Below are 24,651 nucleotides of genomic sequence, written 5' to 3'. Positions count from 1 at the left end.
TGATACCATTGTACTCTAGCCTGGGTGAAAGAGTGAGAACACTTCCCTTAAAAAAGATGCCTATTTTTAAAACTATCCTATTTTAGAGTGAGAGCAAATCTTCTAAGTTAAAGACTGATCACTTCCTGGTGTAATGCAATGTGAAGTCATCAACAACACTTATGAAGCGTTCTTGCCAAAAAGACTTAATGTGGATACAATCAAACCTCTAGATTGAACTTCCAGTTTGCAGGAAATGCAGGGAATGAAAAGACAAGTGAAATGATGCCATGAGGAAACACTCAGCAAAACCTAAGTGGGACATTCTCCAACACAAGCAGCAGGACCCTTCCACAAGAAGTCTGTGTCATTTACAGGGGGGGAAAAACCTCTGCATTTAGAAAAGACTAAAGAAACAAACATAATGAGTAGATTTTGTTTTTTTTAAAAAAAAAAAAACAGCTATAAAAGATGTTATTGAAACAGCTGAAGAAATTTCAATATAGACGAACTATTTAGATAATATTGTGGAAGTATGGTCAATTTTCTTAGGAGTGATATTGGTATTATGGTTAGACGGGTGAATGATGTTTGAATTCTTATGAGATGTGTGCAGGAGTATTCAGGAAGAAAATCACTAGCCAGGCATGGTGGCTCACTCCTGCTCACGCCTGTAACCCCAACACTTTGGGAAGCCGAGTTGGGCAAATCACTTTAGGTCAGGAGTTCAAGACCAGCCTGGCCAACATGGTGAAACCCCCTCTCTACTAGAAGTACAAATAAAAAATTAGTTGGGTGTGGTGGTGCGTGCCTATAATCCCAGCTACTCAGGAGGCTGAGGCAGGAGAATCACTTGAACTCAGGAAGCAGAGGTTTCGGTGAGCAAAGATCGCATCACGGCACTCTAGCGTGGGCAACAAAGTGCGACTCCATCTCAAATAATAATAATAATAATAATAACATGTGCTACTTACTTTCAAATGATTCAAAAACAAACAAAAGTGTGACAGAAAGAGCAAATACGACAAAATGCAAACAAGCCTTGTGTCAAAGTGGTGAGTGTGAGGTGTTCATGGTACCATTCTTTCAGGTCTTCCAATTGTGTGAAAAGTTTTCAAAATAAAGATTTGGAGGCAATCTGCATTGGAAAAACAAAACTGACCACAAGACTCCCAGGAAAAATGCAATCTATTGCTTGAAATTAGTTTCCAGGTAATAAAAAGCATTTTACTTTCCAAGAAAGGACAAGATCGAAAACCCATTATATTAAACAGACTGCACATATATCTGCACTCGAAAATTCAGTTGGAAAAGCAGACGTGCAACAATATTCAAGTGTCTGACACATTATCTTCCCTTCATGCTAAATTGGTGTCTAAGATGATGATACCTTCAGTACGACAGAAGTCAAAAAGAACTTTCTGGGTTTTCTTTCCTTCAAGAGAAGCACTCTAACAAGTCAGGGAGGGTATCACTTCCTCTGGGCTTCTCCTGGTGGGTGGCACGGGGTGCTCCTCAGGGTCTACTGTCGTGGAGATCATCCCTAGGTTCAGCTGAAGGATCACATCAGGAAGTTTCCCTTCCCATTCACTCCCACTCAGTGAGAGCCGCCCAGCAAGAAGCACCCGGGAGTACAGCCACGAGGCCATCAGCCTTCTGCCCTTTCCTCAAGCACAGGGTCCCTATTAGGCACCTCCACACCAGTTCATAAACGCCCCCTGCACCATTACCTGCCCATACCATGGAGACAGCAGGCAGCATCTCAGCCCCGTCATCTCAACTCCCTGAACCTTCTTACTAACAAGACATACTTGCTCACCGTAATGAGCTACAGTAATTGACAACCATGGGAATGCTACATATTCCATGAACACAATTCAGACGTGTTTTCTGTCTATATCATCATAATGTTGTATAATCAAGCTTTTGCTGCATGTACCAGGAACAGGAAATGAAAGGTTTCACATTTTGCTGGGTGTATAATGAATGTGGTAAAGATGAACAAATGCAAGGAGGGAAGGAGAAGGAGAAGGAGGAAGAGAAAGAGGAGGAGGAGAAGAGCTGGAGATAAAGGAGGACGCAGAGATAGAGGAGGATGAGGAAAGGACAGTAAACCAATAAATGAAAAGAAAAGCAACTCTATGACCATTAGTTGAAGTCGAAAATGAGAAAACCTTATTCTCTCCCTGATGGCCAAGGCCCCATAACCCTCAGGACATGCCCTTGACGTGAGAACCGACTTGCTGGAAGGCCTCGTTCCAGGACCCAGCAGGCACTGCAGGGGAATGTGCTATCTACACCCTGGCCTACACTTTTCAATTGGCTAAATGTCAGTTGTAAGCTACCATTTTCCATTTACCCTTTAAAGTCTATTACCACATGCATGTAGCCTACAATGGCTCTCTTAACACACACACACACACACACACACACACACACACAACCAACACCTTAAACTTTTTTTTTTTTTTGAGACAGAATCTCGCTCTGTCGCCCAGGCTGGAGTGCAGCAGTGCAATCTCAGCTCACTGCAACCTCCACCTCCTGGGTTCAAGCGATTCTCATGCCTCAGCCTCCTGAGTAGCCGGAATTACAGGCGTGCGCCATCATGCCCGGCTAATTTTTCTATTTTTAGTAGAGATGGGGTTTCACCATGTTGGCCAGGCTGGTCTCGAACTATGACTTCAAATAATCTGCCCACCTCAGCCTCCCAAAATGCTGGGATTACAGGTGTGAGCCACCCTGCCCAGCCAAATCAAATGATTTATACACATCTCAAGACGTATCAACATTGTTTTCTGGCTTAAACTACTAATCTGGAAGCTTCCAGCCACTAGCAGTCGTGAAGCTACTTAACTCAGTGTGAAACCCACCATCTGCCAGAAGGAAGAATATTAACAGCTAGAACGTTTACTGCAGTTCCTGGACAGAGCGTGTCATTTCCAAATGCCTCTTCCGACCTGCGCTGCTCACAGTGCAGAATTCTGTGGGCCTGAGAGCAGAGCACCCAGCACAAACCTAAGGAAAGGTCTGCACGCCGCATGTGCTCCCCGCCCCCTGCAGCCCGAGGCAGGCTAGTGATGCCCTCTCCACACGGGTCGCGCTGTGCTCTCCATGCTTCCCTGGATCTGTTAGGGCACCTGCAGCATGGCCACTTCCTCCTCCCAACTCTCTCCTCTCCTGGCCTAGTGCCTCCTGCCCACTCTGACTTCTTCTTGTCATTGTAACACCTCCTAGGTCAGTAAAAGGCATTGTTCATTCCCGACTCTCACATTGGGTCAGCAAATTTTGCGACTAATAGGCGTCTGACCACCCTCAGCTTCGTGCTCAGTTATCTGCAGACTATAGCGGTTCCATCTGAACCACGCGCAGAAGCACCTGTTCCCGCATCTGCCCAAGGGCACTCAATAAACACCAAAGGACTCTGAAGACCAACACGGTCAAGACCAACACGGTCAGCTACTGCGGGTGGGCCTCAGCGCACCATCACCAAGAAGGGGGGAAAGTGCCCCGAACATGCTGGACTCAGCAGGCGGCAGTGGCCCTGAGAAGGCAGCAATGCACCCAGCCTTTGTCTAGGCACACAGACCTAGGGTGGGCCACGTCCCCACACACTTCCATCTGTCGCCTCAGTCACGTCCGTTAACCTCTCTGAATCTCAGTTTCTTCTCTTCCTGATACCCCCACCGCCACCTACTTCAGAGGGTTGTTTGAGGGCCAAAGAAGACGTAATCTGGATTATCGGTGACAAACCTCTAATGAGATTAGAGTATACATTGTTAGAAAAAACAACGGCTGTAAAGACGGCAACTCCAATGATGGCCCACAAAGTTTTCCATGCACTCATAGGGAAGACCTCGAGAATATTCTGTTATATGAAAAAAGAAAATTGCAGAATAATGCATATAGAATATTACTTTTCTCCTAAGGAAAGGAGGGAAATGAGATCATAAATTCCTATTTGCTGCCATTTGAACAAAGTGGGAGATGGACACAAGAAAAGTCGCTGTCACTGTGCTGCGCCGTCGGGCAGGGGCAGGTGGCAGGAGTGGGGGAACCCTGCTCAGTAAACTGAAAAATGAGAGAGTCTATCACTCTCAAAATCAAAAGAATTAAGTGACAGCAAGCAAAAATCTTAAATACAAATACACTGTATCATGAAACCCAACATTAGCAATACACCGTCAGCAAAACTACATCCTTTTGTCACATTAAATTAATTGTGTTCATTTACTGCCTTTGTAGTTGGACTGAATTTGTATGTTTGGGATTTACAGCTGCACAAAATTCCTCTAACCATAAGGAATTTATGCCTAGCCTTGGGTTTTATATGTTTAAGTAGCATTATAATAAAAATTATGTATACATATTTTTACCTTCAGTACGGGGTTTAATTAACTTTAAAAAATTGGGGAGCATGTGGGTGGTGGTGCAGGTGGTACAACGAGCAGGTACCTGATGAGGACTGCAGCTCCAAGCAGCAGGTCCAGCCCTCATCCTGCAGCACCCAGTGCTAAAAACTGTGGCCAAATTTCTCTAAACAAACAATGTCAAAAAATCGGGGAGATATAAAAGCAAAATGAACTTAAAAATAATTATATATATATATATATATAAATGGCATATATACACATATATGCCATTAAAAACTTTAGGGAGATGAGGGACAAAACATCAGTTTTAAAGGAGGCATAGCTGAGTATAAATCCTGATCCAACCACTTAGTGGCTAGATTAGAAAGCAGGACAGGTTACAGAAACACTAATCAACTAGTAAGCTAACATATACAGAAGAGCAATATAAAAGATACTCTGAAAACGATTGATACATGACATTAAAACCACTAAATGATCCATTTTTTGAACATTACCAAAACTGTGGTTTTAGATCCAAAACTACCTTCAGTTGTAAATAAAATCTGGTACTGCCAACAGCTACAGAGTAATAAAATGTTTAAATAGTTTTCAGGTTGAAGAAAGCTGGGCGCGGTGGCTCACGCCTATAATCCCAGCACTTTAGGAGGCTGACACAGGAAGATCACTTGAGGCAAGGGGGGCGTTCAAGACCAGTCTGGGAGACAGAGTGAGACTCCTCTTCAAAAAAAAAAGTTGAAGGATGCCCTAAGACCGTGGGGTCTGAGCCTCACATGCATGCACCTCACACTCAGCTGCTAAGAAGTAATGTGTGGGCGCCTTCATGTGCTGCATCTGTAATACGACCTACTGTAGATTCATTTTTCTTGTTAGATAATGCATCCTTAACCTGAGTAGCTCCCTCTAGAAATCTCAAGTTGAATTTCAACCAGGGAATGGCCCGATTCATTGCCTGCTGATTGCTAAGAGGTATGACTTGTAGGTAGATATGCAGTGCAATTAAACGGATACTCACACCCCCAAAAAGAACTTTAATGGATGGATGGATGGATGGATGGATGGCCAGACGGAAGGGTAGGTAGGTGGTTGGACAGACAGGTAAACAGTAGTGAACAAATAAATGGACAGATAAGTAGACAGATCCATTCAGACAGAAGATTGAAATTTGCCCCTGACAAATGATTTCCCACAGTGTCATCACTAAAACAAAAATCAGAAAAATACAAGAAACAATAGGACCACTCCCAAAATCCTTAATCAACTGCTTCAATCAAGAAAAGGTAGGGTGGGAAAAAACTGTCAATCACTTTAAAAATTGCTACACAACTGCATTCATTTTTAAAGATCAGGTAAAAAATTTTCAAAAGCTAACGGAAACCTCCTAAAAAGTTTACTGGTACCAGGAGTTCCAGACCAGCCTGGGCAACATAACACTCATCTCTAAAAGAAACAAAAAATAAAAAAATTAGCAGGGCATGATAGACCACTCCTGGAGTCTCAGAAAGCCCTGTCTCAAAAAAAAAAAAAAAAAAAGGCCAGGCACCGTGGCTCATGCCTGTAATCCCAGCACTTTGGGAGGCCGAGGCGGGTGGATCACGAGGTCAGCAGATCGAGACCACCCTGGCTAACATGGTGAAACCCCGTCTCTACTGAAAATACAAAAATTAGCCGGACATGGTGGTGGGTTCCTGTAGTCCCAGCTACTTGGGAGGCTGAGGCAGGAGAACGGCGTGAACCCGGGAGGCGGAACTTGCAGTGAGCCCAGATCGCACCACTGCACTCCAGCCTGGGCGACAGAGCGAGACGCCATCTCAAAAAACAAAAACAAAAGTCTATTGGTAAGAGACACGCATAGAAAACACCACCACCACACTTGATTCACCTAGCACCTACCAACACCTCAAGCTTTACATAATGACTCACATTTCCAAAACCTAGATAATGAAGGACAATCAGATCCAGAGCTACACCAGTGCCCAAAGAGCAAATCCACCCTCCGTCTGACTCAGAGCTCCCTCTTACTGCACAGCTAGTCCGTGCCTGAGACATAACGGGCATTCGTCATGAGCAACTGAGCACAGATGGGTCTGTGACTGCCTCCCATGTGTCAGGCACTGTGCTGGGTGCTTTGCATTTTCAAATAACCTGGCAAGGTGTATATCACCAGCTCTATTTTACACCTAGGAACTGTAGCTCTGGAAGAGAAACGCCCAGGTGGTCTAGGCCTCACTGGTACCCAACTCTGTTTTGCAGCCGGTATGCCCCATTTGTGTTGATGATCACTAGATAAGAGACTTAAGACTATGCACTTCCTCTCGGCCATGGTCCAGAACTGAGACACGGTTTCCTCAACTCATCACGGACACAGTAACGGAAAAACCCTGCGCAGGCTCTCTAGCTCCCAGCAGTGCATTTTCACTGACTCTCACGTATCACCTGCTCTGTCACCCACCACCTCCCCACCTTCTTTTTTCTTAATGTAAAAGAAATAAAACCTGAGAGGTTATACACCTGCCATCACAAAGCCCCTCTCCCAGTAAAAGCAGGAGGATGAGAGCACATCCACTGCTGTCAGTCACTGCTCTCCTCAACACTGAGTTCAACGAAACAGCCTTTCTTCCTTCTTCACCCAGCTGAAAACTTAACTTTGAGAATTAGCAAAACTGCCCATAAGCCCCGAGCCCCAGGGCATCTGAGTGCTGGTGAAACATGGGCCATCCCACAGGACATGGATCGTCTTAACCGTCTTGGCCATACCTTACTCCAACCCATAAGAGAAAATCAGCCAGGTGTGGTGGCTCCCACCTATAATCCCAGCACTTTGGGAGGACGAGGCAAGAGGATCACATGAGCCCAGGAGCTAAAGACCAGCTGGGCAACATAATAAGACCCACCCTCTCAAAAAAAAAAGGGGAAAAAAAAAAAGATATGACTTGGCTCTGTGTTCTCATCTTGAATTGTAGCTCCCATAATTTCCACGTGTCGTGGGAGGGGCCTGGTGGGAGGTAATTGAATCGCGCGGATGGATCTTTCCTGTGCTGTTCTCATGATGGTGAATAAGTCTCACAAGATCTGATGTTTTTATAAAGGGGAGTTCCCCTACACAAGCTCTCTTGCCTGCCACCATGTGAGACGCGACTTTGCTCCTCATTCACCTTCTGCCATGATTGTGAGGCCTCCCCAGCCATGAGGAACTGTGATTCCATTAAACCTCTTTCCTTTATAAATTACCCTGTCTCTGGTATGTCTTTATTAGCGGCGTGAGAACAGACTAATACAGGAGGATTTTACCTTCTGGACCAACAGGGACAGCATCGTCAGCAACCCTGCTCCTGGAACAATTTTCTCCTGCTTCTCCTGTTCCATCAAAAGACTAACTCATTATTTTGTCCAAAGATACTATCTACATTTATGAAGACTGAGAAAGTTACTTTAACCACTTTTGTAATGCAAAGATATTTTATAGGTACTTAATATTTAATTGTAATTCAATGATGTTCTCACAGAAGTAACTCTGCCAGCATTCTGTATCTGCACAGCACATAAGCTCAGAAAAGTTCTGTTTCTATCCAAGTTAACATACAATTCTAATAAGTTTTTTCTTGCAACATACCTGCTACTTCCCCTTTGTGACTACAACTGTATTATACTTCAGCACTTGGTTGAAAATAGCTGATTGAAAGTGGTGATGTACATGTCAATATTCGCTTGTTTTCAGGTTTTTATTCCCCCGTCTGTGTTTGAGAGACATTAATCAGAAAGGAAAGGATAAGTTGGTATCTGTGCAGAAGAGGGTTAAGAAAGCAGGCCCCAGCAGCCCTCCTTTCAAAGCCCTGCTTACAGGGGTGGCCCGTGGCTGGGGTCTGCGGACTTGGATTTCTGGAGGATTCCCACCACCCTAACTAGTAAGTGGGGTTCGCTGTGCCTCAACTGTTTTCCAACAATATGGTTTATGCTGAATGCCTGCTTTCCTGCCAGAAGGCTGGGATTTTGGCAAAGGCTACCTGTCACCAGCCTCCAGTAAAAACCCTGGGGGCTAAGTCTCGGATGCGCTTCTTTGGCTGGCAACATTTCACTACCTTGTATTGGTCTACCTTGTTCTGGGGGAAATTAGCCCCTCCTGTGAGCCTCCATGGGGGCGGGGCTTTCAGAAACTTGTGCCTGGTTCCCTTCAGACCTCACCCCATGCACCCTTTCGCCTAGCTGGTTTTGCTTCGTTATCTTTCTACTGTAATAAATCATGCCCATGAGTATTAGATCCTGAGTCCTGTGAGTACTCCCAGTAAATCCTGGAAGCAGGAAGTGGTCTTGGGGACTCCACCCAGCACCACATTTGCACAACCAAACAATAATCAACTTTTCACCCCTCGTTCCCTTAACCCTTCAAAGGATGCACCAACCCCCACGAGCTTCTTGCAAAGCGCGCAGGGTCAAACACGCGTGCTTTCCCAGTTCCCTGAATTCAATGCGTGTTCGCACTTAGTACAAATTAGACCATCGCCTAGATGTGAAGCTCCCAGAAAAATCACCTTTTATGCCACGACCTCCTCATTCTGAGCTCTCACTGCTTTAGCGGTTTCTTGATAGGTTTCTCTTGGTTTGACAACAAGATAAATTAGATTTAAAATTATTTCCAATTTTACTCAACGAAGTCTACAGGTTACATTGTCTGGGTAAAAGTGAGATTAATCTTATTGATAAAGATGTTTTTCATGACAAAAATAAACAGCATGATGAGGGAGACAGGCGCCAAATCCAGCCACCATGAATAGTTCCTACTTTCCACCACTCATCAGAAAAACATCCCTAAACCATGTGAACACGAGAAGTACAAAGAACCCATCTGGGATGATCATCCAATGGACAACCCAAGAAAACTCAACTGTCCTTTTCCTTTCCAACTTGGACCCGGCAGAATGGCTCCCGCAGAAAAGGATGGCGAGAAGAAAAACGGCCATTCTGCAATCAGCGAGGTGGTGACCCGAGAAGACACCATCAACATTCACCAGCGCGTCCACGGAGTGGGCTTCATGAAGCGTGCCCCTTGGGCACTCAGAGAGATTCGGAAATTTGACATGAAGGAGATGGCAACTCCAGATGTGTGCATTGACACCAGGCTCAACAAAGCTGTCTGGGCCAAAGGAATAAGGAATGTCCCCTACCGCATCCGTGCGTGGTTATCCAGAAAATGTAATGAGGATGAAGATTCACCAAATAAGTTCTATACTTTGGTTACCTATGTACCTGTTACCATGTTCAAAAATCTACAGACAGTCAATGTGGATGAGAACTAATCGCTGATCATCAAATACATCAAATAAAGTTATAAAACTCCCCCCCACCAAAAAAAAAGAAAAGAAAACTGAACCAGCCCCTCTGCCCGGCCAGCCGCCCCGTCCGCGAGGGAGGTGGGGGGGTCAGCCCCCCGCCCGGCCAGCCGCCCCGTCCGGGAGGGAGGTGGGGGGGTCAGCCCCCCTGCCCAGCCAGCCGCCCCGTCCGGGAGGTGAGGGGCGCCTCTGCCCGGCCGCCCCTACTGGGAAGTGAGGAGCCCCTCTGCCTGGCCAGCCGCCCCGTCCGGGAGGGAGGTGGGGGGTCAGCCCCCCGACCGGCCAGCCGCCCCGTCCGGGAGGGAGGTGGGGGGGTCAGCCCCCCGCCCGGCCAGCCGCCCTGCCCAGGAGGTGAGGGGCGCCTCTGCCCGGCCGCCCCTACTGGGAAGTGAGGAGCCCCTCTGTCCGGCCACCACCCCGTCTGGGAGGTGTGCCCAACAGCTCATTGAGAACGGGCCAGGATGACAATGGCGGCTTTGTGGAATAGAAAGGCGGGAAAGGTGGGGAAAAGATTGAGAAATCGGATGGTTGCCGTGTCTGTGTAGAAAGAAGTAGACATGGGAGACTTTTCATTTTGTTCTGCACTAAGAAAAATTCCTCTGCCTTGGGATCCTGTTGATCTGTGACCTTACCCCCAACCCTGTGCTCTCTGAAACATGTGCTGTGTCCACTCAGGGTTAAATGGATTAAGGGCGGTGCAAGATGTGCTTTGTTAAACAGATGCTTGAAGGCAGCATGCTCGTTAAGAGTCATCACCAATCCCTAATCTCAAGTAATCAGGGACACAAACACTGCGGAAGGCCGCAGGGTCCTCTGCCTAGGAAAACCAGAGACCTTTGTTCACTTGTTTATCTGCTGACCTTCCCTCCACTATTGTCCCATGACCCTGCCAAATCCCCCTCTGTGAGAAACACCCAAGAATTATCAATAAAAAAATAAATTTAAAAAAAAAAAAAAAAAGACTGAACCATCTTCACCAACAGCAGCAAAACCATAAAATAATCTGCCAGGGAAGTTTAAAGAAGGCTGGGATGTGTGGGATGAGAAGTTCTGCCCATCTGCGGGGCCTGACCAGCCATCCCTGGCACGGAACCTGCGTGCCCCTGAGATGTGGGAGAGCGGCCCGCCGGCGCTGCGGCTGCACAGCCAGGTCCCCAACCCTCAGTGATGGCCAGCAATCATTTTCTCCTTCCTGCAGGGGCAGGAATTCAGGAAGGGAAGGGAGGGGACACCCTGTCTCTGCTCCACAATGTCCGGGTCCTCAGCAGGCAAGATGCAAAGGCCGGTGATGGCTCAGTGGCTGGCACTGGCACCACCAGAAGCTTCACCACTCACACATCTGGCGGCTGACAGTGGTGGTCGCTGTTAATGAGAAACCACCTCCTCCCATGGCCTCCTCTGGCAGCCTCTCCGATGGGGCTGGTCTTGGGTTCTGAGAGAACCAGGTGAACGGTATGTCGTCCTCAGCACACCAGCCAAGAGCGCCATTTCCCATCCAGTCACAGCCCATCCAGATCCAAGGGAAAGAACAGCAACTTCGCCTCTCAATGGGAGGCGTTTCACAGTTACACTGCAGAGAGGGCACGTGCGGCGGGAGACGCTGCTGCGGTCATCTTGGGAGGCGTTTCACAGTTACACTGCAGAGAGGGCACGTGCGGCGGGAGATGCTGCTGCGGTCATCTCTGGAAAATACGATCTGCCACTGTCCATCCTCTGGCCACCACACGTCACATCCTCCCACATGCAAAATGAACCTGACACCTCCCCAGGGCCCCCAAGGCCTGTCCGATTACTGCTATCAGCTTGAAGTCTGGGGTCTCGTCACCTAAACCCTGCCCAGCTGAGAAGCCTGTGTGCAGGAACATGCAGTTCCTCAAGTCCACCCCTCTTCCATCCCCGTTCTTCCCAATCCAGGTCTAAAGAGCTGACCCAGACACACCCACACCCCACACACAATGTCCCACCCAGGACAGCCACTCGAGGCAGGCACACAGCGCCAGCACCTCCATCAGGGCTCTGTCCTGGTACCTGGGGCTTGTTTTCTGGGATCTCAGCTCCGCCTTCTCAGATATACTTCATTTTCCATGAAAAGTACCCCACATTTACAGCTGGGTGATTTTCACAGCCTGCTTCCTCCTCACAGAAGTCTGGGGGCCCAAAGACTTATTTTCATTTTGTATTGCCTCTGCTCCTTTCAGTCCAGGCAGACACATAATTTCTTTAAAAACACTTGGTGGCCTTTTTGTGTATTAACTCATAATCTCCTCCATTAGACAAGCCACACCCATAAAGAGACAAGCCCTTTACCTCCTGGGCTCCCAGAAGAGGCTGTGGCATGACAACGCCCTTTGGACTCTTAGAGGCCAGACGGGATTTAATGCAAGAATCTGCAGGCCTCTCCTCCAGCTGAAAGGCCAGACACTGCACTTGGATCTCAATCTGAAGCCTTAGGAACGGAGCTCACAGCCCAGTCCAGATGCATTTTGCCGGAAGCCCTTTCTTCACTTGAGGAGCCTGGAGAAGAGGCTGGGAATGAGAAACAGTCTTATTTTTGAACCCAGGAAGTCCTCTTCCTTTACACCAAGGAGAAGCCAGGTGGCACTTTGAATTTTCTGCCTGGAAATCTCCTAAACTAGATGAGCAAGTTCATTAAATACACACATACTTTCCTCTTTCCCACAGCAACAATGACACCAGGCTTCCCACCACCACCTAACAAGGGGCCCCTTTCCTCCAGCGTGCAATGACACGTTCCCTCCTTTCCTTCCGGGGTAGGCAAAAGGCAGCCAGTAGGCCAAGCCCAGCCTGCTGAGGACCAAATCCAGGGCACCCATGTGGTGGACACCGTCTGCAGTGCCTTCTCACATTGGCAGAGTAGCAGGGACAGTCATCATGTGCCACCCACAGGCTAAAATACTAGACCCTATTACCTTCTAGGAGGCCCTTCAGGCAGCCAGCAGCACTCTCCTGGAGGCCCGGAGGCTTCTGCCCAACACCCCATCCCAAAGCCAGAGCTGCAGGCATTGGGATTTGATTATGGCCACACCTGGCTCCAGCTTCCAAAACATGTTCAAGTTATCCACTGCTGCTTAACAAACCTCCCTTTACTTAGCAGCACAAAACAATCATTTCATTATGCTCACAGGTCCCATGGTCAAGAATTAGGAAAGGGCGCCACAGGTCTCAGGGGGCCTCAGCTGGGAAGACTTAAGTCTGGGGGTGAGTGTCTTCTGGGGGCTGGAATCACTGCATGGTGGCTCACCTTCACAGGGCCTCACCGCATGGCTGCGGGGTTTCCTCACAGCACACGCCCCAGCAGATCCAGGGGAGAGCCTTTTATAACCTGGTCTACAGTCCCGAGTCAGCCCAGATTCAACGGGAGGGAACAGGGACCCTACTCACAATGGCAGAAGTGTCAAGGTCACATTATAAGAAGAGCTTGCCTGTGGCCATGTGAGGACAACACCATCTGCCAGCTTCCCGGGGGGCTGGGGTGGGAGGACTGCATGAGCTCAGGAGGTTGAGGCTGCAGTGATCACAACACTGCATTTCAGCCTGGGCAACAGAGCAAGACCCAGTCTCAAAAAGATAGATAGATAGATAGATAGATAGATAGATAGATAGATAGATAGAAAGAATCAAGAAAGTTTAAGGTCAATAAGCAATACAAGCCTTTTCTAGCGTCTGAACAGTTAATGTATAAGCTGTTTTACTGAGCAGCTCTTCTGGATTCTACTGTGACGGTATCAGCTTCATGTCCGGTGCCTTTCACATCCCCATTCACTGCTCCATGCAGGGAAAACACAGATTCCACATGTGGAAAGAAACCAGTTTGTCAGCAGGATCACAGAGCTGCAAGCTCACGAGGCCCTCCAGAAGCCTCGCAGACTGCGGCAGAACCACCCTGCGCAAAAGATCAGCAACTTGGACTCAAGGCTCTTGGGCATCTGCAAATGCGAACGTTCCTGAGGACTCTCTCACCCCAAAAAACTGCAGATGACCTTCACATTTTTAAAAACCTTTTTGTCTCCTAATAAGAAGCAATGACCATCTTAGAATACAATATCAAAAACAGTACAACCCAGAAATCTGAATTGATTCTTCCTCCATCCATGAATTGCCCTGAAAATTACATTTGTTATCTTGGGCTGCCCCACACCCCACCACTTCTATTAAATAAGTTGTCAGAGCCATTAATTTCTTTCTAGACGCCTCTCTGCTGTGGTCTCTTTACCTTCATCACCATTTCTACTCCTCCATGTTGAAATGGCATCATATAGTATCTGGAATTCCCATCATGCTTTGGGTGACCGTATCCACTGGTCTACTTCCTTCCACACGCCCCACATCTCAAGCAGACGAATCTTTTTTTTTGAGACAGGGTTTCACTCCGATGCCCAGGCTAGAGTGCAGTGGCATGATCACGGCTCACGGTGGCCTCAGCCTGATGGACTCAAGAGATCCTCCCACCTCAGCCTCCTAAGTAGCTGGGACTACAGGTGTGCACCACCACACCCAGCTAATATTTTTAATTTTTTTGTAGAGATGGCATTTCACTATGTGGCCCAGGCTGGTCTTGAACTGCTGGGCTCAAGGGATCAACTGGTCTCAGCCTCCCAAAGTGCTGGGATTGCAGGTGTGAAACACCACATACAGTCAGATGAATCTTTAGGAAAAAAAAAACCAAAAACAAAAAAAACATGGCCAGGCACAGCATCTCACACCTGTAATCTCAACACTCTGGGAGGCCAAGGCAGGCAGATGGCTTAAACTCAGGAGTTCGAGACCAGCTTGGGCAACATAGTGAGACCTTGTCTCTACAAAAAATAAACAAAAAATTAGCTGGGTGTGAAGGTACATGCCTGTAGTTCCAGCTACCTAGGTAGCTGAGGAGCCAGGAGCCAGAGGTTGCAGTGAGCCGAGATCGCACTGCACTCCAGCCTGGGCAACAGGGTAAGACCCTGTCTCAAAAACAAACAAAAAGGATAAGAAAAAGAAAAGAGAAAACAAAGCCTATCTTTCACCTATTTAAAACTTTCACTGCTCCCCATTGCCTTTACAATATAAGGTTGAGATTCCTTCACCTGGTCCCCAGGCTACCGCAGTCTGGCCCAGGGATGAGTAATTTGAGTCAAGTTAGTCATCCCCACCCAAGCCATGCAGACACTCACACAGTTCCATGAAAAAGCCATGCTCGGTTTCCTCTCAAAATCTCTGTGAACACCCTCCCTAAACTCCGCATTCCCTGTCCCTTCTCTCAGCCTTCTTCAAGTCCCAGCTCAAGTTCCATCCCCTCTACGAGGCTCTCCCAACCATTCTGCACCTCTCCTACTGCCAAATGCCGAGGCTTGAGCTTGGTACTACGAGCTTCAAGGTTTAATCACAGCTGCCTTCCCTTTCTGTGCGTCCCTGTTTTAGGTGTGCTAGTCCCACACTTGGGGTTCCAACCATATGAAATGATGCTGTAAGCTTCTTGCAAACTCCCTCCCATGTCAGACCAAATACTGCCAAACAAAAGTCAGCACACAATCAACACCTGCTGAACGAATCGGCTGTCCAGCACTGCCTCCCAAAACAGCCAGGAATACCAAAGCTCCAGGCCTTAAAAACAGCTGCTAAAATGCCAGGATCTAAATCCTCTTTTAAGAGGAAATTACATTTTGCTTTGAGGAAAATATGTGACAACCCTGTGGCGTGGTGGTGAGTCCCTTCCTGATCACCACCACTCCACTTCCAAGCTAGCCTCTCTTTGGATCCATTGAAATAAGAGAAAAAGGTGTTATTTTATCAAGGCCTTATCTAATGAGATATTGACATCATCAAAATTAAAATTGCATCAGGTTTTCTCCAAAATGCTTTCTAAACAGGGGTTCCTAAACACCAACACCATCATCAAGCATAAAAGAATAAAAGAAAAAAGTTACACAACCTAATAAATAAGTAAAATAGAAACCTTGGTATCCTTCTCCTGATCACAGAGAACCACTACATATGATCCTATAATTAGCCATAAACCCTGCACACCCCAACCTATGCCCACAAATGACTAGCCCATAAGAGGACCCACCACTAAGATAAACATTTAAAAAAAAAAGTCGAACCTAATAGTGCCCACTATCCTTTGAACGATTAGGGGAAGAGAGCACAAAGGGAAAATTTAACCACACAGTGTTACAACAGGTTTAACCAAAAAGATAAACACAGTTCTTTTAACACAGTTCTCTCTGACTTAGGTTTCTAACATTTAAAAGGGTTGATAGGTCAATTTTCTTTACTTATTGGTTCCAATCTCAACCAGGAAAATGTGAGCATGAGATCAAGGCAGCAAAAAACCAATTTTCTTAAAATAAAATGTAAATATTAATCATAGAAAATGTAAACAAAATAGCTGCCAAGTTAATTGCTTCTGGAGGACCATGTTTTCCAACGTGCATTTCTTCACAACATATCCACGCTAATAAGCACGTTCAATCTAGGACGGCTCATCTCCCTAGCCTTTAGTTTTAAATGGTAATAAAACAAAAACTACAGTAAGAGAAAAGTTGTCAAGGCCTATCAACTTGTATAGGTCCATTTAGTAAAGTCCCCAGGGATATCCTCAAAACACTGCATCCCAAACAGCATGGCAGGTGGTTGACGGTCAAGACTCCTATAAGAAGAATCAAAATAGCCTGGCAGTACCAGTGAAAATATCAAAACCAAAGCCACACCCCACCCCCCTGACAAAGGGCAAGCACATGTACATAAAAACCCTCCTGCCACTGGGCACGATGGCTCATGCCCAAAATCCCAACACTTTGGGAGGCCGAAGTTGGAGGATTGCTTGAGCCCAGGAGTTTGAGACCAGCCTGGGCAACACAGAGAGCCCTGGTCTCTACAAATATTTTAAAAACTAGCCAGATGTTGGTGGTGCACACCTGTGGTCCCTGCTACTCAGAAGGCTGAGGTGGGAGGATCACCTGAGCCCAGGAGGTTGAGGCTGCAGTGAGCCATGATCATGCCACCGCACTCTAGCCTGGGCGAATGAGCGAGACCCCATCTAAGGGGGGGGAAAAACCCTGTCTGCTAAGATGACACTGCCCAACTCAGCAGATCACAGAAGCAGCCTGTGTGTAATAAAGAACAGGCACGTCCTCACAATGGAAAGCCACAGTGTTTTACTGCAGGCTTCAAGACTTCTATCTGCTGTGCTTTTGCTTTTTTTCTAATAGAACTAGATGTTTAAGAAAAAAGCTGGAGCTAGTGTAAAGGTTGATTTCCTTGTAAACAATCAGAAAATCCATCTGCATGCTCATTGTTACACTGCAGTAGAAACCCCAAAATCAACCCACTTAATAAGGTCAACCCATCAATTAATACAGGAAGAAAAGAAAGTGAAAGGGTTACCAATGAATTCATATGCTCCCACCCATTCCCCGTCTCTCTCTCTCTTTCTCTTCTCCCTAGTGCCCATTCTCTCTCCCTCTCTCTCTCTCTCTCCCTTCTTGTTCCCCTTAGCCCCCATTCTCTTTCTCCCTCTCTCTCTCTGACTCTCAGGCACACACATCAGCCCAGGCAGTTACTGAACACTTTTAGAAGGAGCCTCCTGTCTCTAACCTCTGAAATATGCATAAGCCAAAGTAAAAAAGGGATTCGTTGTCACAAGAACAGATGTTGCAGGGGTTCATCTCTAAGCTTCATGGGAGAAATCCTACTCACCAACTGGCAATTTACCATGGAGCCACAGTGCAGCCACTGTTATTAACATTTGCCACACTTGAGAAATAAAGGAAAAGAAGAGCCACCCGGTGATGGATATTTTTAATTAAAACATTCCATTTTCAGTAATGGCTGGTTCTCTCTGCTGAGTTCTAAAGGCTTTATTCTTGTGCTGTGCTCACAGCCTGACGAGCTTCTTCACACACAGAGCACATATGTTCTGAGTGAGGCAGAAGGAAATCCTGCAACAGCGTTGCTCCGTGCAGTTCACATGGCTAAGGGGATACAGTTCTGCACAAGTGCAAGGACTTCGTGGAAAGCATAAGATTCCAAGAACATTGACAGAGAAAGTCCACCTTTAATAGTAGAAACGCTGGTATCGAACTCAAAACTCAAAGGTCATTTCCTACGTTTAAAGAACTGCACGGCCGGGCGTGGTGGCTCACGCCTGTAATCCCAGCACTTTGGGCGGCCAAGGTGGGTGGATCATGAGGTCAGGAATTCAAGACCAGCCTGGCCAACATGGTGAAACCCCATCTCTACTCAAAATACAAAAATTAGCCGGGCATGGTGGCACGCACCTCTAATCCCAGCTACTCGGGAGGCTGAGGCAGGAGAATGGCTTGAACCCAGGAGGCAGAGGTTGTGGTGAGCCGAGATCGCACCACTGCACTGCAGCCTGGGTGATAGAGCGAGACTCTGTCTCAAAATGAAAGAAAAGAAAAGAGAAAAGAGAAGAGAAGAGAAAGAAAGAGGAAAGAAAAAAAGAAAGGAAGGAAGGAAAGAAAGGAACGAACGGCAATATCACTAAATGCTTCCACTTCTATAAACCGGTAGTTCTCGGATTTTTCAGTCTCAAGGTCCCTTCACACTCTTTAGAATCACGGAGGAGTCCAAAGACGCCCCTTCCCAATTATCACTACCAAATGTTACCATGTTATACATTGAAATGAGGGTCTTCTCATTTGTATTAATTCATTTCAAATTAACAATAAAAAGCCTGTTACAGGTTAACATGAATGACATTTTTATTAAAAATGAAACTATTTTCCCAAACAAAAAATTTTAGTGAAAAGAGTGGCAATGTTTTTCATTGTTGCAAATCTCTTTACTGTCTGGCTCAGGAATAGAAGTCACTGGATTCTCACCTTTGCAATTGTATTTAATCTGCTGTAATACATTGATTCAACTGAAGCACAGGAAGAAAATCCAGCATCACATATGGAGCTGCACATGTATACGTAGTCTTTTGAAATAATTGTCAGTATTGTTTGATACACACCAAAACTCCACAAGCGGTTTGTTGGATAAGGAAACTGTTTCAGTAGCTTTTTCATACTCTGTTACATTGAGACCCTCTGTCCTAGCTGGTGCTTGAAGTGGCTCTTTACCCACACATGGTGTTGTAACAGCACGCACTGGTCATGTGGAAAGATGGGCTCACCGAGCTGTGCAGAGCTCTTCTGCAGCATCAAACACACCCAGCATGGCCGCCGCGGTCTCATCAGAACAGGCCTCAGAACAGGCTGGTAACCTGACAAGTTCACCGTGGAAGACACAGGTTTTTTAAAATTCTAATTTAATTTACAGTTGAAAGCTCAATTTTTATCACTGGCAACAATTGCCATCAGTTGTTTTCCTTGAAGTGACAAGCTCACTTCATCCTGTCTCTTATTCTTTCAGGGAAAAGCAGCATCCCACGGGGAAAACCAACAGGCCCCTCCCGGATCCCACTAGTGCCTGTCCCTCAGCAACCAGCAGATCGCAGTCTGTGCAAAGGCACTCAGTGGGGTAAAAACACGTGCAGAAGGGCCCAGATTTGACACAAGTAGTGTGTTTTTGCGGCCAGTTATGAGGCTATCATGGATGCAACGACTGGGTCAACTGGGAGCCACTAAGACTCCGACAGCACTGCCCGCCATTGCGCCCGCCATCAGTGCAGATCCAGGCGCCAGGGAAACGCAGGCCTGTCCTAGCAACCGACCTCACAAACCCCCAAAAGGGTCCTGAAGACCCCCAGGATACTACCAGCATGGTTTGAGAACTGAACTACACTAAATTTGTAGGAATGTGAAGACATACTGCACCAAATTTTCTGTATTTATGGCCAGCATCACGGGAATACTTAAATGTTTCTAGGCCCTCTTTACCCAAATAAATCTCCCATTCTGTTAGGACACTAAACAATCATAGAGATAAGTGAAAATTACAAAGCTCCAGCTTACTGAGATCCACTGGGCCACAGAGAACAGTTAATGAGCTGCCCAATAAAAGTATCCTAAACGAGCTTGCTGAACTGGGCAGTCATATCCTGTTCCCTTCCCAGATGCACACAAATCCAGAACCTGTCCTCCCACCGCCATCACACCCAGGGCAAGCCTCCAGCGTCTTGCCCCTGCACTAGAGCAGCCTCTGAGCACTCTTCTCCCTTCCACTCCTACCCCTACGATCCCTTACTCTAGTCTCTTAAATATAAAGCAGATCACAACACCCCCTGCATGAAACCACACAGCGGATCTCTAGCACACCTGAGTTGTATTTAGTTCCTTACCCAGGTCTGCAAGCCCAGACACAATTTAGTCTAGGCCTCTCTCTCCTACCTAATCTACTGCTCTCCTCCTCACTCACAGCTACAGCCAAACCAGCCTTCTATTTCTGAACTAGGCCACACTCGCTCCAGCCTACTTCAAATGAGAGAGACAAATAAAACCCAGTGGGAAAAAGCAAAGCTGCACTGGGAGGGAAAAGTATAGCCATTAATACAAATGTAAGAGAAGAAAGAAAGCTGAGGATGAGTAAGCATCCATCACAAGAAGACAGACCCAGAGAAAGTAAAAGGAAGGAAGGATCCAAAGCTGACAGAATGAAAGCAAACAGATAACAAAGAAGATCCACAAAGCCACAAGCTGGTTCCCTGAAAAGAACCAGCCTCTCATGCAGTGACTCTCAACCTCTATTTTATTATCGCCCAATCTTTCCCCTAATCTTTTCCCTAATCCCCCTCCCATGAAATGTTGACATCGCAGGTATATGATGTTTCTGTTTGTGCACTGCACACACTTCTGTGCTTTATTCATAAAAAGCAACATTTTCACTATCATCCCCATGCCTGCTCTAGTAAGACTAATCAAGAAAGAAAGGCTGGACACGGTGGCTGAAGCCTGTAATCCTAGCACTTTGGGAGGCTAAGGCAGGTGGATTGCCTGAGCTCAGGAGTTCGAGACCACCCTGGGCAACAGGGTGAAACCCCATCTCTACTAAAATTACAAAAATGAGCTGGGTGTTGTGGTGTGCGCCTGTAGTCCCAGCTACTCGGGAGGCTGAGGCAGGAGAATCACTTGAACCCAGGTTGCAGAGGTTGCAGTGAGCCGAGATCACGCCACTGCACTACAGCCTGGGTGACAGAGCAACACTCCATCTCCAAAAAAAAAAGAAAAAAAGAAAGGAAGGAAAGAAAGAACAAAACTCTGTCTCCAAAAAAAAGAAGGAGAGAAAGAAAAGAAAGAAGGAGAGGAGGGGAAGGGAACAGAAGGGAAGGGAGGAGAGGGGAGGAGAGGGGAGGAGAGGGGAGGAGAGGGGAGGAGAGGGGAGGAGAGGGGAGGAGAGGGGAGGAGATGGGAGGAGAGGGGAGGAGAGGGGAGGGGAAGGGAAGGGAGGGGAGGGGAGGGGGCTGGGCAGGCAGGCAGGCAAAACCACGGTACAGAATTCTAAAAGAGAGAACTATCCACATTGACAAGAGGTGACTTTGAACAACTCTATGCCACTAAACTTTTTAAGTAACAAAGAAAAAGACAAGTACTAGAAAAACACAACTCACCAAAACTGACTCATAAAGGCATAGAAGACATGATAATCATTTTAGAAACAAATCATAATTTAAAAAAATCATTCCACAGAGAAAACTCAAGACCCAGATGAGTAACTGGAAGTTCTACAAATCTTGCTAAAAGCCAGAGGCAGAAAAAAAATAGAAAAACACTCCTCAAACTCATATTTTTGGAATAGCATGACCTTGGTGTTAAAACCCAACAAAAACTGTACAGGAAAAAATTACAGGTCACTTACTTTAAAAAAAGAGTTACAAAAATATTAAACCAAACCCAGAAATGCATAAAAAGTGTAGACAGATTATACCTGAAATGCAAGGCAGCCCCAACCATTAAAGACACTGTGTGCACGCATGTGCGCATACCTGCATGCCTCCTTCACCATGCTAACACACGGCCCAACCATTAAAGACACTGTGTGCACGCATGTGCGCATACCTGCATGCCTCCTTCACCATGCTAACACACAGCTCAACCATTAAAGACACTGTGTGCACGCATGTGCGCATACCTGCATGCCTACTTTACCATGCTAACACACGGCTCAACCATTAAAGACACTGTGTGCACGTGTGTGCGCATACCTGCATGCCTACTTCACCATGCTAACACACGGCTCAACCATTAAAGACACTGTGTGCATGCATGTGCGCATACCTGCGTGCTTCCTTCACCATGCTAACACACGGCCCAACCATTAAAGACACTGTGTGCACGCATGTGTGCATACCTGCATGCCTCCTTCACCATGCTAACACACAGCTCAACCATTAAAGACACTGTGTGCACGCATGTGCGCATACCTGCATGCCTACTTTACCATGCTAACAAATTAAAGGAGAAAAAGCATATGATCATCTTGATAGATGCACAAAAAAGCATTTACTAAAATTCAATAACCACTCATTAAAGAAATAACGCTTATAAGCAAGAAAGAAACCTTCCTTAATCTGATGGAGATTGCCTACGAAATTAGCTCAAAAAATCGTATTTAATAGGGTAAATGTGTTCCCCTTTGGGATAAGAAAAAAGTTAAGGATGCCCCCACATTTATTCAACACTAGTCCTGGTCAGTGTAGCACAGATAGAAAAAAGAGAGAAAGTATAAAGATGGGGTAGGAGGGACTGTCATTATTTACAGAAGACCATGACTGTGTTTATAGAAATCCAAATAAATATGTGAATATTCAAATTAAAATATTCTGTAAGGTTGCTGGATACAAATCAGTCGATTGAAAAAAAACAAAACGAAAACTGTATACTGCATTCCTATGCACCAGAACAAACAACACACAATTTCTAAGACTCATCAAAATAGCATTTTAAAATTCTGGGAATATATCTAACAAAAGTATCTAAGAATAAATCTAACAAAAGATGTGAAAAACTTCTACATGAAAAATTAGAAAAATTAATATTGAAAAGATGTCAAGTCTCTGCCTAAATGATCTATGGACCTACAGATATGATTAAATCACAATCAAAGCCTCAATATGTTTTTCTGCCTCTCAGTGAACTTGACCCACCGATTTTAAAATTTCTATGGAAATGCAAAGGGACACAGGGAGTCAAGAAACTCTGGAGGATCCAAATGGGGAGATGTGCTTTTTCAGACCATCAGCAGCCACAGAGACAGGAGTGTGAAGCTGGCACACAGAGAGAAGTACCCCCGGAACAGCACAAAGGGCCAGAAACAGACCCAGGCGCGTCTCAGCCCTTAGTTCCCGCAAAGACGGCCTGCAGAGGAGTCATCATAGTCCCTGCAAGTGAAAGGAGCTGGGACAAATTAAAATTCATATGCAACAGAGCAAAACTGGGCCCTTACTTCATACCATATGCAAAGCCAATGCCGGATGGGCCATAGACTGGCGTGATTATTAATACATGGTAATTATTCATCCCTAGGACTGCCCTGGGCACACAGGGACTGGCAGTCACCCTCGTTAGGGACCTAAATGTAAAAAACAAAACTATGAAGCTTTTAGGGTACATTATGGGACAAAATCTTGACCTTAAGGTTGGAAAATATTTCAACACAAGCATAAAACACAGGGAAAGCACTTACACATTAAACTAGAATAGAACTACATATTTCTGTTTATCAAGAGAGACCATAAAAAGACTGAAATATTGCATCACAGAGATGTTTCACAGGACAAGAAATGTTCCACATATAAACACATTTTAAAAGGACGTTATCCAGAATGTTTAAAGAATTCCTACAAATCAATAAGAAACAATACAACAGGAAAAGGGCAAAAATCCTCAACAGGTACATCACAAAAGATCCTAACAAAATCACCAGTAAGAGTATGAAAAGGTGTGTAATTTCATTAGTCATGAAGAAAATGAAAATGAAAAACAGAACTTCCATATAGAATCCAGCAATTCTGCCTCTGGGTATATATATCCAAAGGAATTGAAATCGGCATGTTCAAGACACATCTGCATACCCATGTTCATTGCAGTGTGGTTCACAATAGCCGAGATATGGAATGTACCAAGGTGTCCAACAAAAAATGAGTGGATAGGCCAGACGTGGTGGCTCACTCCTGTAATCCCAACACTGGGAGGCTGAGGAGGGCAGATCACCTGAGGTCAGGAGTTTGAGACCAACCTGACCAACATGGTGAAACCCCATCTCTACTAAAAATACAAAAATTAGCCAGGCGTGGTGGTGAACACCTGTAATCCCAGCTACTCAGGAGACTGAGGCAGGAGAATTGCCTGACCCCGAGAGGCGGAGGTTGCAGTGAGCCGAGATTACACCACTGCACTCCAGCCGGGGCGACATGGCGAGATTCCATCTCAAAAAAAAAAAAAAGAATGGATAAAGAAAATGTGATATACATGCACCATGGAATACTACTCAGCCATTAAAAAAAAGAAGGAAATCCTGTCATTTGCAACAACATGGATGAACCAGGAGGACATTACGTTAAGTGAAATAAGCCACAGAAGGACAAACACCACATGATGTCACTTACATGAGAAATCTAAAAAAACGAAACTCACAGAAGCAGAGTAGAATGGTGGTCACCAGAGGTTAGTGGGTGGAAGGGGTAGGGGAGATGTTGGTCAAAAGGCACAAGCCTTCAGTTGGACAGAGAGTAAGTTCAGAGATCTACTATGCAGCATGCTGACTATAGTTAATAACACTATATATTTTAAAATTGCAAAGAGATTGCAAATGGTCTCACCACCAAAAAAAAAAAAGATACATATGTGTGGTGATGGTTGTTAATAAGCTCGATTTAATCATTCCCCAATGTATATATCTATCAAAACATCACATTGTATCTCATAAATAAATACAACTTTTCAAAGTCGGGGCCAGGGGGAAGTAAATTACAGCCATGATATAATACATACCCACAGGAATGAACACAGTAAAAATGCGTAACAGTGTGGGCCGGAGTGTGGTGCAGCAGAAACAACCTCAGCTAA

General features: G+C 45.9%; 1 protein-coding gene and 1 pseudogene across 2 annotated transcripts in view; one reads left to right on the top strand and one right to left on the bottom strand.

The window, feature by feature from the left end:
• RPTOR (regulatory associated protein of MTOR complex 1) overlaps positions 1-24,651 on the bottom strand; it is a 421,531-nt gene that overhangs the window by 354,174 nt on the left and 42,706 nt on the right. The gene's annotated exons all lie outside the window — the stretch shown is intronic.
• RPL31P7 (ribosomal protein L31 pseudogene 7) lies at positions 9,240-9,688 on the top strand (annotated as a pseudogene).

This window comes from Homo sapiens, chromosome 17 (assembly GCF_000001405.40).
Source record: "Homo sapiens chromosome 17, GRCh38.p14 Primary Assembly".
NCBI lineage: Eukaryota > Metazoa > Chordata > Mammalia > Primates > Hominidae > Homo > Homo sapiens.
Note: the sequence above shows the minus strand (reverse complement) of the source record. Positions and strands in the feature narration are given on the sequence as shown.